We start from the raw sequence: 16359 nt of genomic DNA, 5'->3' as shown, positions 1-16359 counted from the left end.
GCTGGAGAAGCCAGAAGATCAGAGTCAGAAATAAAGGACTAGAAATATGAATAAGAAAATTCTAGGCTCAGCTCTGCTAGTGGCCATCTGTTCACCTTTGAGCAAGTTTCTGTACTTCTCTTCTGAGTCTCCATTTCCCCATGCATAAGATGAGGAGTTTGGATTAGATCTACGGGTTCTTGAATTTCAACGTGCTTACAAATAACCTGAGAAGCTTTTGTAAAAACTCACATCCCTGGGCATCACTGCAGAGTGATTCAGGAATTTTGCTTCTAACCAAAGTCCAGTGGTGAATCTGACAAAGGAGGACTGAGGACTTTGAGAATCCCTGGACTTGATGACACACAGGACCTTCTCTGAGATTCTGAACATTAAGGTGTTAAGACTCCTTAGCCTGGGAAGAGAAAGCACACGGAGGGAAGGGGAAGGGGTTGACCGGCGCCAAGAATTCAGCAAAGATTTTGTTTGATAAATATGTTAAACTACGTCAATTCCTGGTAAGTTTCTGTCAAAGTCACTCAGGCATCTGCAGCTCCCTGTTTCCACAGCCTGCATCCTTGAGGCAGCACAATGGATCCAACAGCAGCTGATGGATCCAACAACACGTCTTCCTTCTCCAGCTGCTCCTACTGTGAAATGCAGGGGCTGGCCCTGATGATCTCGAAGGACGCTTCCTCCCTGACGTTCTGAATTTCAGGCATTCTTCAAACTGCCTTCACATCATGCATGCCCTTCTTCAGGCAGTCACTTGTTCCCATTTCAAAACAATCAAATTATCACAAGCCCACGGCTGTTGCTTCCAAGAAGGAAACAAAGGCTCAGTGCAATGGGCCACTTTGAAACCACCACCTGGGTGTCCAAGAAGCTTTGCTGTGGGTTGTAGGCATGGTTATGTGTCCATCCAGGGCCAGCCCTGGTCAGTTCCTCGCAGAATCCACCTTCAGTCAAGGACTGGAAGAGGGGGGCTGGTAAAATCTCAGTGCAGTTGAGCCTGTGATGGGACACAGGGACAGTGGCAATCCTTTGAAGGGCCTCCGTCTCTTGCTGCCCTGTAACCTCCAGCTGTGATATAATGTACCAAGGTAAGGCCTTCCTAGGCTAATGGGCATCTGTCATTCTTTTGGGCCACGCTGATCTTTGAACACCATTTTTGTTTCAGGAGTTCCCCAATGTTATAAGCCTACATCTTTCCAAATTAAAAGCCAGAAACGTTCTCGGCCTCTTTTGCACGTGGCCTGGGATCCAACGATCAGGCTGTGCCTAAGCCAGACTCTGAGGTAGAAGCTTGTGGCTCAGAGAAGAGGGCATCAGACAGATCTCGGAGAAGGCTATGGTAGCCCTATCCTGTGCCCAGAGACAGCAGTGACAGCAGCTTAGAGGTGGCTGTTGGTGTATGGTGTCAGGGCCACACTTTTTGGTGCCTGTGCTCAGCAATGGCAGTGCTGCTGTCTCCGCAAAGCAATCCTGCAATGGGGTCTGGGCATTGTTCCTGCTGTGTAGCTGCTCCGAACCTGGTTCTCTGACCTTCTGGATTCTGTGAGCCCCCTGACAGCCTTTGATAAATTCTGTGTCTGCTGAAACTTGTCAGAGAGCAATTCTTCCACCCACACCTAAGTGCCTGGATACCAACAGGTAATACACTGGACACAGCCAGAGAGGAGAGAGCTGATTCTTTGGGCGGGATCTAAAACGACTGAGCTTTCAATGATCCTCGGCCTTGGGAGCTCTTCGAGAAAGAGCCAGACTGTTATGGAATTGACCTGTCGAAAGGGAGGGTTCGGGCCACATCATGTTCAAAGACTCTTCCTTCTCCAGATGCAACAACAACCTGTCCACATTAAAACCCAGCTGTGAATGCCGGGCAGAGGACACTGCAGAAAAGACTTGACTTTCTTTTCTTTTTAACCTACCACTCGATTTGGAGGAAATGAACCACAATAAGTGAACCATGAAGTGTAGCACGGAGTGGGCTTTTGTTTCCCAACCAGCTGGGGGAATGCAAATGAGCTCAGAGGTGCTCCTTTCATTATGGTGTTGGCCTCTTCTACATTACGCACATTAGACAAATTCTGCCAGCTTGGGCTTCATAAATAGCCCTGTAGGGATGACACATCTCCCAAAAGAAAAAAAAAATAAGGACAAAATTCTGAGGCAAGGATGTTCATTTCTAGGCTGTGCAGAAGCTCTAAAGTAATGAAAGGCCAACAATAATTAGAACGTGTTTTTGTAATATTCTCTTTTCTAAAGAGAGTAGCACAAAGGTGCCTCAGAGGCTTGCGCTAATGGGAAAATGGAATGTTCTAAAAAGAGGCCCTTTGAATCCACACTCCTCCGCTCACTCTAGCAAATGCAGACACATAAATTAAGGGTCTGATTTTCCAATTTTCAAAAAATACGGGGCAAGAACTTTCTGGATGGAAATGAGGTTAAAAAAGAAAAGCAGTGAATTGAAAAGAGATATAAACATTTGTTTTCATTTTTACTTTTCTTTATCATATACAGAGATTCCTTTGCTGGCATCATAAAATTAGGATGTTTCAAACAGTCCTTTAAAAAAAAAAGGATGGGCCCTTTGCCCACGGGGGGAAATTCTACTGCCCTTCTCTCAATGTCTGAAAAGCAATAAATAAGTGGTGGGCCTATCTCATAGCCTTGACGAAGAACAGATCAAGGGTTTGTGCCTAGGGAGCTGGTGCAAAGCAGGTCTTTAATATGTTTTGTGAATGGGGGAGTGAAAGAATGATGACACAAATAATTTTGCCATCTCCCCCAGTACGTGACCCAGCACCAGCCTCCTTTCTGTTTCTCCAAAGACTCTGCCATTCACTCATTCATTTACTATTTACTGAGCACCTACTATGTGCCAGGCACTGTTCTTGGTACTGCAGATACCTAAATGAACCAACCAGATGTTCTAACCCTTCTGAAGTTTGCATTCTAGCAGGGGAAATGCTGTAAGTAAGACATGTAAGTTAAATATATATTAGATAGCAGCATGCGCTGTGGAGAAGGGAGACCCTAGATAAACCAAATATTGGACAACAGCCCTCATTTAAGTACCCCCTCCTCCAGGAAGCCTTCACTGACCACCCTGGCTCAACATCTGTGATTAGGCAACTTCTCAATGCCTTTTTCTACCACAGGACCTCTCAACCTCAGCACTATTCCAATTCTGGGATTGAATCTTTTGTTTTTCCTGTGCACTGTGGGATGTTTGACATCATCTATGGCCTCCACCCACCGGATGCCAGTAGAATTTTCCCCACCCTCCAGCCGTGATTACTAAAAATGTTTTCAGACATTGTCAAATGTTCCTCAGAAGGTAAGTCACCCCTTGTCGAGAAACACTGGACTATCCCTTGCTGTTCAAAGTGTGGCACCTGGACCAGCTGCACAGGGGTCACCTGAGAACTAACCAGAAATGCAGAATCTCAGGCCTTGAGCCCAGACCTACTGAATCAGCATCTGTGTTTTAACAAGAGATTCAAATCCACATGCACTGGCCTATACCACTTATTGGACTCTTAAGGGCAATGATTCTCAAATTCTTGGTATGAATCGGGCTCATTTGGAAGGCCTGTTCAAAGTAGGGATGCCCAGGCCCCTCCCCAGATCTACTGAATCAGAATCAGAGGGGATGAGTTCATGGTATCCGGGGCTTTCACCTGCTCCCCAGGTAACTCTGATGCATACTATCATTTGAGAATCCTTGAGTTCTCAAAGTGTAGCCCCTGGAGCAGTGGCAGCAGCATCACCTAGGTACGTGTTAGGAACGTAAATCAGCAGGCCCCACCTCAGACCTACTGAAGCAGAAGGTAGCAGAAGCTCTAGGGTGGGACCCAGCAACCTGTTTTCAACGAGGCTTCCAGGTGCCTCTGAGGCTCGCTCAGGCTTGAATACCCCTGCCTTTGACTAGGAGGACACAAACACAAATGCCTTCAGGAGGTGGGCTTGCACCTCTGGGGCTGGTAAAGATGAACTATCTTGTGGGGAGAGAAACTTATAGTATACTAAAGAGTCTAAGTTTTTGCCTAAAAGCAGGATGGAAGAAGGGAAGGAAAAAGGGAAGGGAATGAAAAAGGGGAGGGGAGGGCTGGGGAGGGAAGGGAAGGGAGAAGACTCTCGGGCCAAATAAAGTATCTACATAGACCAGATCAGCTAGGGGCCACCAGTTTGCCATTGTACAGGGGATGCCATCTTATATGGCTGTTCTCTTTTAAAGATGACTCCTCAAGTCAATGGTAATCTTGAGGGCAGATTTGTACTTCTTGGTAGCCTCTGATAGATTGGCGGTACCCAGGAAAAGTTGGTCAGTTGTTCATTAATTCTCATTGCACTGAACTATTTTAAAATACACATACAAAGGATGGTTTCAGCTGGGAGAGGTTTTAATATTGGAGACGAGGTTCACAGGGCCTCGGTTTTATTATTTGTTTTTTGTTTGTTTGTTTCTTAGAGACAGGCTCTCATTTTGTCACCAAGGCTGGAATGCAATGACACGATCTTGGCTCACTGCAGCCTCAAACTCTTGGGCTCAAGCGATCCTCCCATCCCAGCCTCCTGAGTAGCTGGGACTATAGGTGCACACCACTGTACCTGGCTAATTTTTAAACATTTTTGTGTAGAGATGGGGTCTTGATATGTTGCCCAGGCTGTTCTCAAACTCCTGGCCTCAAACAATCCTCCCCGCTCAGCTTCACAAAGTGCTGGGATTAGAGGTGTGAGCCACCGCGCCCAGCTCTTGGTTCTACTATTTGGAAATCAAAAGGGTTGAATTAGAGCAGGGTTTTTCAACCTTGGCACTGTGGACATTTGGGGTCAGATAGTTCCTTGTTGTGGGGAGACTGTCTTGTTCATTGTGGGATGTTTGGCAGCCTCCCCTGACCTTTACCTACTGGCTCCTAATAGCAACCCAGAGCACTCAGCCAGCTCACAGGAAAGCTCCAGAGCCCAGACGGCCCCTTTTCAGCAGACTGGAGATGCTAACAAAATCCATCCTCTCACAGAAGAGAGCCAGGGCTTCCCAAGTTGGGGTGGAGGTGGATGGTGGCTGCACCCCAGGCCAACTCCTAGCCTTGAATAAAGGTCCCACTCTGTGTCTTCAGTTTCCCATCATTTCCAAGCAATAGAAGAAACACCTTGATAACAATGGGTTAAAAGATGTTTACGAATAGCATAAACCTTTGAAAATCCCCCTTTGTCCAAGGCCATGATAAATGTTCTCTGTCTGAAAGGGTCTCCGGGGTCTCTGCATGGTTTCTATTCTATGTACTGCTCTGGGAGAAGAGAATTCCAAACGCAAACTCCTTTTCAATATATAACATATTGCAGTTACAAATTGATGTCAAGCTGCGTGAGCTGCAGCCGGCTTCATGCCATTAGCATGCACCTATTCTATTATTTTTTCAAAAATAGGAGCTCTCAGATGCATGTCGCAGAAGGGGAGATGACGTTTACAGTCTGAATTCCTGCGACAAACTATCACCTTACGGAGGCCTGGGGAGCAGCTGCTGACAGATTTTTAAAGCAGCATCAACATCCTAGCAGGGAGGGGAGGAGGCAACACCTCCTGCTTCACAGAGAAGAAGAGAGAGGAAGTGGGGAGGGACAGGTGGGGAAGGAGGAGGGGAAACAGGAAGAAGGGATTCGGCCCTTTCCCCAGGTGGGCTCTGGGAGAGGGGCAAAATCGACCCTTTTTCAAGTCCACTGGCTACTCCCGAGAAAGAACTCAGCACTTGGGTGAGGAGACCTTCTGAGGTCTCTTTGTGCCTTTAGACCTCAGCTTCCTCATCTGAGATACGGGCCCAAATTCCTTTTCCTGCCACTTCACATAGGACTGGAAAGCTGGGACAAAGGACAGCCATGAACCGCTGATGGACTCACCCAGGGACGTTCAGTTCAATAAACTTCTGAAGCAGAATAGGTTCCCACAGAGCAGGCCAGAGTGAAAGGGGCCTGCATGAAAAGTTTTGATTCAAGGGCCTTCTATTTGCAAGAAAGGAAATTACATATGAAGTTCCCAGGTTTCTCGGAGACTTTCATTTCCCTCTCATTTTCCTTCTCGTTAATAGTGGAAGAATTTATTTAGAGGTGTAGAAGAGTCCCTTTGGGGCCATACAATCATAGCATTTGAAAGCAACCTCAGAATTGGTGTTTTTTTCCCTGGTAATCTTCCTATCTGAGCAACAGTCACATCAGTGTTTATTCCTGCGCCTGGAGCTTAAAGGATTTTCATTTTCAAAAGGAAGATGAAGAAGATGGATTTAAGGTGTTAAGTGTAGAGAATCTGGGTTTTGTTCCGGTTTGGCTTCAAGGAGCGATTTGATCACTCCGAGTTGTATAGAATGGTATCTAATCTGAAAATGAAATTATTTTCATTCTTTTTTTTTTTTTTTGAGAACTCATCTACATAAAAGAGGGTAAGCTGGATTGCAGCCAGCAGTTATCCGGGTCAACTTCAGTACACTGTGTTTTGAAAATTTCCAGTGGGAATCCTTCCACACAGGAGGTATCATTGTTCCCACTGGGATGCCCCTTCCCAAATTCTCTGTTTGTTCCAGAATAATTACAACCTGAAGAGAAATCTGCCTGGGGTTAAAGTCAGATGTTTTGTTCAGATAAAACACAGGCAGCCCGACTGGCAAAGCACAACTTATTCAGTGTTCCTGTGTCGTGGATTAATTCATACCCTCAAATGCATAATCAGATGAACGTGGTTCAGAGAACAGCACAGTCCTCTAGTGTTCTTGCTAAAATAACAATTTTTCTCAACTTCTGTGTGCTCAAGAGGTTGGAGCAAACTGATGCTTGGCTGAAAGGGAACCCAGTGCAAATTCACCTTCGAGTCCCCTCATCAAGGTGACGTGAACCCTTCTGGAGGTCCGCGCCTTCAAGGAGAGCTGAAAACCATGTGCTCTGAGGATGCTGATGGACTCTGTTCTATTTCCATGGACAGCCAGGGCTCCGTATGCTTCACTTTCCTCATCTGTCCTGTGAGTATCCCAGCTGGCAGATGGAGTAAACAGCCAGAGTGTGTTCAATGGTGTCCACAAAAAATTCACATCCATCTGGAATCTCAGAATGGAAAACTTATTTGGAAAAGCATCTTCGCAGATGGGATTAGTTAAGAATCTTGAGATGACGTCTTCCTGGATTTAGGGTGGGCCTTAAATTCAACGGTTGGTTCTCTTATAAGAAGAGGACAGGTTGGGAGGCCGAAGTGGGCGGATCACGACGTCAAGAGATCGAGAGCATCCTGGCCAACACAGTGAAACCCCATCTCTACTAAAACTACAAAAATTAGCTGGGTGTGGTGGCGCACGCCTGTAGTCCCAGCTACTCGGGAGGCTGAGGCAGGAGTCACTTGAACCCAGGAGGCTGAGGTTGCAGTGAGTCAAGACCATGCCACTGCACTCCAGCTTGGCGACAGAGTGAGACTCTGTCTCAAAAACTAAAAAAAGAAGAGGAGAGGACTCAGAGGCACGGAGAAGGCCCCGTGAAAGGGAGAAAGGGACTGGAGTGACGTTGCTACAAGCCAAGGAGTGTCTGGAGCCACCAGAAGCCGAAAGAGGCAAGGAAGTATCCTCCCCCAGAGGCTTCAGAGGGCGTGTATCCTTGTGGACACCTGGATCTTGTACTTCCAGCTTTCTCAACAGACACAGTAACGTTCTGCTGCCTTAAGTGATTCAATTTGTAGGAATTTGTTCTGGCAGCCACAGGAAATGAATATTTTAATTACATGCAACTCCCCAAATTCTGAATCTCTTGGTTTCCCTCCTTGAAAACCTTTCCCTTCTTTTTAATCCAATTAATAACTTCTTTATTATAGACAAGCAAATGCAAGTCCTATTCCTGTAAACACAGACATTACAAAGAACAGGGAAAGGGGGCGAGGAGAAGAAAACAAAACCCTCTACAAATCCTGCTGATACCGACTCACCCAACAAGACCATAATGCTTTGTCCCATATTCAATCACTTCTATAATAACCACACACGAGATCTTCTCTGGTAGATACACAGATCCTCGCTGAGACGGCAGGGAAAGGGGGCCAGAAGTTGGGGTAGGAGGCTCTATTCTTTCGGCAGACCCTCTCCGTCATTATAGATATTGCTGGGCTGTTAATAAAAAATATATGCTTCTCTGTAAAGCTTTTTTTTTTTAAATTCCAAGGATGAGATGGCTGAGGTCTCAGCTCAACTCATCTCCGAAGACATTGTTATCCATCTCCTGACCTTTCTGTATGTTATTTTTTTTTTTTTTTTTTTTTGAGCAAAGCTTCTCCTTCTTGTAGCCTCCAAACTGCCAAAGGAAAATGACACCCTTGGACACTGGTGGTGCACTTCAGCCTTTAGTGGGGAGGGGCTGACTTTGTCCCGAACTAGGCAGCCGTGTGCTTTAACAGAACAACTAGGCTATGGAGAGCTGTGATGATAATGGTGAAGATTCAGGCTTGACAGTGGGCCAAGTCCAGTGTCTAATGGTCTCCGGGCTTTCTCTAACTGAATCGTTAGGAGGTAAGGATGGTTAGCCCCTCCACTTTTCATATCAGGGAAACGGATACACTGAGAGGTTCTGGCCCTGATTCCAGGCCTGGAGTTGGCCTACAGAACCTGTGCCCTCAACCACGCCACTATTCTGCCTCCCCACACCCACCCCAGCCCCTAACACGCACCTGAAGGTTGACTCTGGTGACGTCAGGCTTCTTGACAGCAAATATAAATGTATAGCCCTTAAATAATTGATTTTGACGGGGACTGAAACCATTGCATGACTTACTCATCAATCATTCTATCAGCAGAGTCGATAAATGTCATTCCTTTGATGCCAAACTAGTCCATGGGATGAAAAGGTTGCACAGCAAACAGTGATGACACATTTTCAGTGCAACAGCAGTAATAAAAAAAAAAAGAGGCAGCCACTGGACATATTTAAAGATTGCTAGAAGAGGACAGAGAGGTCTGCTCAGTGCCCATGGATCTCCTGTTTGTTTGAATACCCCATTGTCCGCAGGATCTGGCTGGATGCTGGTGGTGTGACACAAGATGAGGTTGGTCACAGGTATCTAAGTGGAAAGGACCATCTTTGTTGGGGCAGCGGAATAAAGAGGGGTACATGGACAACCCCAAATGTAAAAATATCGAACCAGTCCCATGCCTGGGCAGAAGGATCATTTGTGCTGTTGGTTCTCAAACACTGGGTTGGTTGCATTAGAACCAGCAGAGGAGCCAAATAAAAATATGGATCCAGCCGGGTGCGGTGGCTCATGCCTGTAATCCCAGCACTTTGGGAGGCTGAGGCAGGCAGATCACGAGGTCAGGAGATCAAGGCCATCCTGGCTAACATGGTGAAACCTCATCTCTACTAAAAATACAAAACAAATTAGCCAGGCGTGGTGGTGGGTACCTGTAGTCCCAGCTACTCGGGAGGCTGAGGCAGGAGAATACCGTGAACCTGGGAGGCGGAGCTTGCAGTGAGCCGAGATCACACCAATGCACTCCAGCCTGGGTGACAGAGCGAGACTCTGTCTCAGAAAAAAAAAAAAAAAAGAGAAAAAGAAAAGGATCCCTGGGCCCCACTGCCAGTGGAAATCTGGAGTAGGGTTGGAATATTGTACTTGTCACAGTGACCAATTTTTAACGAGCTTACTAGAAGATTCTGATGCATAATCAGGTAGGAATCACTAAATTGTTTTTTTCACTAAAGCAAAAGATTGGTCAAACCAATATCAACATGGTTGCCCCTGGCAACCGCCATTCTACTTCCTTTTGAGGCAGAGTCTCACTCTGTCACCCAGGATGGAGTGCAGTGGCACAATCTTGGCTCACTGCAACCTCTGCCCCCCAGGTTTAAGCAATTCTCATGCCTCAGCCTCCCGAGTAGCTGGGACTACAGGTGTCCACCACCATGCCCAGCTAATTTTTGTAGTTTTAGTAGAGACAGGGTTTTGCCATGTTGGGCAGGCTGATCTTGAACTCCTGACCTCAGGTGATCTGCCCACCTCGGCCTCCCAAGGTGCTTGGATGACAGGCGTGAGCCACTACGCCCGGCCAGTCAGCTCTACTTTCTGTTTTTATAAATCTGACTACTCTAACTACCTCATATAGGTGGAATCATATAATATTTGTCTTTTTGGGATGCTTATTTCACTTAGCATACTATCCCTAAGGTCGACCCATCTGGTAGCATGTGTCAACATTTTCTTCCTTTTCAAGGCTGAATAATATTCCACTGTGTGGACAGAACACATTTTGCTGATCCACTCGTTTGTTGACGGACACTTGGGTTGTTTCCAGCTTTTTTTGGCTTTTGAAAATAACACTAGTATGAAGTTGGTGTACAAATATCTTTTCAAGACCCTGCTTTCCATTCTTTTGGGTACATAACTAGAAGCAGAATTGCTGGATCATAAGGTAATTTTATTTTCAAAATGTTTGAGGAATCATCATCCTGTCATTGGTAACAACTGCATCATTTTCCTTTCCCACCAACGGTGCACAAAGATTCCAGTGTTTCCTCATCAGCACTTGTGATTTCTCTGTTTGTTTTTTTGTTGTTTGTTTTTTGTTTTGTTTTGTTTTTTACAGCAGCCATCCTAATTGGTATAACTCATTGGCTTTTAATATGAGGATATGAAATACGTTGGTGTCCTTTTAACTTGACAGGGAATGTCAAACTCTGCTCCAAAATATGTACTAGAAAGACACCTCTGAACACTGACTCTGCAGAGGATGGGTTAAAGAGAGAAGGGATAGCTGGCAATCGAGAAAGGAAAAAAGTGCTTCTGTATTAGGTAGGTCTGGGCTTGGCTCCTGACTCTCCCTCTCTTGCCTGTGTGGCCCCGGCGAACCAAGTTCCCTTCCTGTCTTCAGTTTCATCATGTGCAAATAGGAGTAAGAATGCCTCCCATGTACTACTTAAAAGATATACACACATTGCTGGGTGTGCCTGTAATCCCGGCACTTTGGGAGGCAAAGGCAGGAGGATTGCTTGAGTCCTGGAGTTTGAGATCAGCCTGGACAACATGGTGAGATTCTGTCTGTATGGAAAAAAAGAATTTTAAAACTGGCCAGGCATGGTGATGCACGCCTGCTGTTCCAGCTGCTCAGGAGGCTGAGGTAGGAAGATCGCTTGAGCCCAGGAGGTCAAGGCTACAGTGAGCTATGATTGTGCTACTGAACTCCACCCTGGGCAACACAGTGAGATCCCCCCTCTCTAAAATATATATATATATATATGTGTGCATATATATATATATTTACATATATAATATATACATATATATGTGTATATATATATTTACATATATAATATATACATATATATATAAGTATTGGCAATAATGGATGAAAAGCACTCAGGTTAGTACTTGGCACATGGCAGGTGATCAGTAAATAGTGTCTTTCTTAGAAAAATGAGAAGTTTAGGAGAGAGAGGTGTTTCTTGTGAATTGCCTCCCTCCCTTCCCCAACACACACTCATACATATACACATGCACACATACACACACACAGGCAAACACTCATATACACACACACACACTCACACACACCCCATTAAAAGAAAGATATCAAGAAAGACCAGTATTGGTCAGAGGTAAAGATAATCACATCATATAAAACAGAAATGTACTTAGCTTTTAAGAACCAAAATACTCATGGTTTGGAGGGAGGAGCTGCTAGGAATGGTGCCTGGGACCTGATGTGTTAGCTGAACTTCGTCCTCCCACAGCCTAACATCGGCCTCCTGTTTAGTCCCGAAGACAAGGGATGGAGCCGACCCAAACATGCTCAGACTGGAAGTGAGAAGCTTCATGGGGTGTCTCTGCCCACTCTTGGGGCTTAGTATCAAGTAAACCACCCTGGCCTATGGTGTCAGCAACCCACTTCCCCGACACTGCGGATGGTCCCAGCAGCCTCCTTTGGACCTGTGCCCACACTGACACCTAGTAACAGGGCAATCGCTCAAAGGAAACAGCTGCTGTCCAGTCCTGCCGGCCGCTGGCTAAAGCCTGCCCCTGGGGGAGAGGAAATAATGAAGCTGATGGAGTTGACCACTCCCCTGGGAGCCTCCTCTTGCCTCCTTCCTGACCCAGGGCACACAGACACCTCAGATGAGGTAGGTGTGACTACAGACCCACTTTATGGATGAAGAGACTGAGGCTCATGGTATAAGGAACATTTCTCAGAATCTAAAAAGTGTTTCTCAAGATCACACGGCTAACAGATGATGATGCTATGATTCTACCCCAGGCCTATCCGACTTCAGCAACCATGCTTTTATTTTTGAAACAGAGTCTCGTTCTGTTGCCCAGGCTGGAGTGCAGTGGCGTGATCTCGGCTCACTGTAACCTCCGCCTCCCAGATTCAAGTGATCCTCACGCCTCAGCCACCCAAGCAGCTAGGATTACAGGTATGTGCCACCATGCTCAGCTAATTTTTACATTTTCAGTAGAGACGGGGGTTTTGCCATGTTGGCCAGGCTGGTCTCAAACCCCTGACCTCAGGTGATCCCCTCCCTCCCCTCCCTCCCGCCCCCCCGTCCCCCAATCCCAAAGTGCTGGGATTACAGGTGTGAGCTAGAGCCTGGCCAGAAACTATGCTCTTAACCAGGATCAGCAAACTACGGCCCACCACCTGTTCTTGTAAATAAAGTTTTATTGGAACATAGCCAAATCCATTCATTTACATATTGTCTACAGCTGCTTTCCTGTTACAACAGCAGAGTTGAATAGTGCAACAGAGACCATATGTTGCTCAAAGCCTAAAATAGTTACTATCTGGCCCATTGTGGAGAAAGTTTGCCAAGCTCTGCTCTTAACCCAGAATAATGTTCAACTGGCCACAGGTCCATGGGGCCTCAAGAGACCATCCATGAGAAAATAAAGATGGCTCAACCAGGCAGAAAGGGCTACAGACCGCTCAGATGGAATTATCAGAGAGTAGGTCTGTCCTCATAGCCTTTATTCACTGCCTCTGACCTCTAGCAAGTAACATCACCCTTTCCTGTTGGCCCAAGAATTGCTCAGCTTCTCCAGCCTCAGTTCTCCTATCTACAAATGGGGAGAAGAGCACCATCTCCCTCACAGAATTTTTGTGACATTTCAATGAGATCTAGTAAGTAAAAGGCCTAATACAGGGCTCGGCACAGAGTCAAAGCTCAACGAACACTTACTTCCTTCTTTCCTCTGGCCTCTTAATCAGTGACGTTATTCTGCGACTTCAGATGTCTCCGGTGAAAGTACAGTGCTGTGGAGGATGCGGCTGTCACAGCCTGCTGGTGAACGGGCCCATTAGATAGAGGTGCAGAGTGGGCATTGCTTTCCAGATGGATAAAAAAGCAAAGGCTAAAATGTAACATAAATGAGGAGGATCTTATTTGCACAGCCACTTTCTGTTCGTCATTGGCCACGATTTCAGCAGCAATCACAGCCGCCTGGTTATTTCGCTGTGGAGTGGGAGTGGAGATTGCTAGTACATAAAAGTTTTCCAAGAGATCTGAGTCGTTTGCAGTTAGGTACCAAACCACACAATCCTGTAGATAGATCATAGCAGTGAAAGGCAAGGCTCAGCCATCGGCAGACCTGGGTTTGAATCCCAGCTCTGGTGCTGATCAGCCGTGTGGCTTCAGTGAAGCCAAAAAAAAAAAAAAAAAAAAAAAAGAGAGAGAGAGAGAAACTTGGAGAGATAAAGAATATTTTCAAGCAATATTTTAAGAACTCCGATGGGTGCAAAAGATCTGTGATGAAGGAAATTTCAAAATTGTCCATCAAGACAGCATCAGCATTGATGATTTCTGCACTGGTCTGAACATGGGTGTGTGTGCAGGTGTGTCTATGACAGTATCTGCCTTGCAGGATAGAAATGAGAAAATACATGTGAAAGTTTAGCACAGCTTATAGGGAGCCATCAATAAATGTTATTATTCGTCTTATTGTTTCAGGCCCCTAGTAGCTCCCAAGAGCAGGGGTCCATTGCCCGGTTATGGGGAGATCGAGGCATCTGTGTTCGGGCACGGGCAGTTGCAGGTGACTCAGTAGAGCTCCCGCTTGGGCATCTCGACTTCCCTTCCCCTCCCAGCCCCACTGAAGCAGGCCCTAATCGCATTATCAAGATTATCTCCCGGTAGTTGCAGAGCGGCTGCCCTGGGACTTGGGTTTAATTCCGTTTTAATAACAGGTTCTTAAACACATTTGAAAACAAAATTATGATGCCCTTTCATCCCTTCAGTTGGGAAAGAAAAAAACCTTTCTAGTGTACAGTAATGTACTGGGTTTTGTGTTACCTATTGTTTTGTTGTTTGGCTTTCTTTTTTTTTTTTTAAAGAATGTGTATTGTTTTGAAGATTGCTGGGGGCTGGCATTCAGGGTTTTTTCCATTTTGAAATGATTTCCCTGGCAACAAAGGAAACAGCCAGTCTCCCCAGATGCCAGGACCTGCCTGATATGAAAATTGCCTTGTTGTAGGGCCAATAGGGATCATGGTTTCTAAATGCAACAAACTCACTTTAAAATGATCTATCCAATTCAGGGATAGGCTTTAAATGCTGTCTTCATCTTGTATTTATGGAAAACATAAAATTTTACTTTCCCACACAGAACCAAGGTGGTAGTTGACTTTCTAGAAGTTTATGGTGCCATCGGTTTCCTCTGATTATAAAAAACACAACATAAAGTGCTGCCTACGGAGATAGCAAAGGAAAAGGAACTCTTTGGACTTAAAGGTGAGCAGAGAGGCTAGGTAAGTGATGATTTTTATTCCCTTATCTTCCCAATACTTCCCCCCATGTGACTCCCCCATAAAACCCCAGAGTGTCCTAGATTTCATTAAGGTTAAAAGGCCATCTCCTCGCCTGAGTGACCTATAGAACTATCTCTAATTCCACCATTTGTAATACATTCCTTTGGCTAGATTCTGTCCTTTCCTGGCAGTCTCTTTTATTTATTTATTTATTATTTTTATTTTATTTTATTTTAAGACAAGAGTCTTGATCTGTCACACAGGCTGGAGTGCAGTGGCAGGATCTTGGCTCACTACAACGGGGTTCAAGCAATTCTTGTGCTTCAGCCTCCCAAGTAGCTGGGATCACAGATGTGCACCGCCATGCCCAGGTAATTTTTGTATTTTCAGTAGAGATGGGGTTTCACCATGTTGGCCAGGCTGGTCTCGAACTGTGGCCTCATGTGATCCTCCCACCTCGGCCTCTTGAAGTGCTGAGATTACAGGCGTGAGCCATTCATTGCTCCCAGCCCTGGCAGCCTCTTTTAAAACATAAATAACGTGAAAGCAGGTGAAAGTGGAAGCTCTTGCCAGTCTCTTAAACATTCCTGTGTGAATTACAGTAAACTGCATCCTGCTGGGAGTGCCCTAAAGCAGCACGCAGTGGAGAAACCTGGTAGTGAAGACACTGGAGGCTTCACATGTAGGGGAGTCTAGGGTGGGGCGAGGGAATGTGGGGATGCAGAGAACTCACCAGTGGACACTAGCCTAAGTGAGTTCCCTTCCACTGCAGAGATTCTAAATCTGATTCAAGAGATGGCTTAGAGAGCCAAACTCCCTGTCCCAAAGTGGAAAATGTTGTCATATATATATATACATATATTTTCCAAGTCCACAGTTTTTATCAGATTCTCAAAAGACTTTGATGTAGAAAGGTTATAGGTACTGAGGCCAGCTGACATTTTTCGAGGACTTTCTAGGACCCAGGCTCTGTGCACAATACTTTGCACACATTGGTTCACATAACTGCCCCTTCCTACAGGGAAGGAATTTTACTCCCATTCACAGATAGAGGAACTGAGGCTCAGAGTTGGTGAAACAGTGAATAATAATGATGATACATAAAAATATCAGCTCACATTTATTTAGTGCTTACTATGTCCCAAACACAATTTCTGTATCATCTGTATCCCAGGTCCCTCCTAGTTATGATCTTCACTAGGCACTGAGAATTTGAAAAAACTCACCCAAGGTCACAGAGCTAAGATGTGGCAGGTCCCGCTCCAGCTCTGTCGGGGTTTTATAAATGCTGTGATTCCACTCCTAACAAGTGCTTTGGAAATTCCCCCTTCCAGATCCTCTCAAGGCTTCCCCAGCCCTACTGCACACAGGTCGCTACAAGACTCCAGGTGCAATTGCTTTGCCTAAGGACACTGACTTTTCCAGGGTCTGGGACACCAGCGCCAGGTGCCTGCACTGCCATGTGCCTATGGACTCCACGCCTTGGTCTCAAGATAGACCACTTCACGTGGCATGAGTGTCACCTGAGCAAGAATCCAGCTTTGTCTTGGGCTAACTAAAAAAACAAAACAAAATAAAACAAAAAACTAGGAGCAGGAGACTAACAAAAAACAAACAAACA

At 45.7% G+C, this 16359-nt stretch overlaps 1 protein-coding gene across 11 annotated transcripts in view, besides 1 other annotated feature; it reads right to left on the bottom strand.

Moving 5' to 3' along the window:
- Positions 1 to 16359, bottom strand: part of KAZN (kazrin, periplakin interacting protein) — a 1225220-nt gene that overhangs the window by 443842 nt on the left and 765019 nt on the right. The window lies entirely within an intron of this gene.
- Positions 13260 to 13319: an enhancer, noted in NCBI's record as "active region_227". NCBI's record gives its function as "activates an Ori minimal core promoter by ATAC-STARR-seq in GM12878 lymphoblastoid cells {active_cell/tissue: GM12878}" and the evidence as "EXISTENCE:reporter gene assay evidence [ECO:0000049][PMID:35858748]".

The sequence above is a fragment of the Homo sapiens genome, chromosome 1 (genome assembly GCF_000001405.40).
Source record: "Homo sapiens chromosome 1, GRCh38.p14 Primary Assembly".
In the NCBI taxonomy this organism is placed as follows: domain Eukaryota; kingdom Metazoa; phylum Chordata; class Mammalia; order Primates; family Hominidae; genus Homo; species Homo sapiens.
Note: the sequence above shows the minus strand (reverse complement) of the source record. Positions and strands in the feature narration are given on the sequence as shown.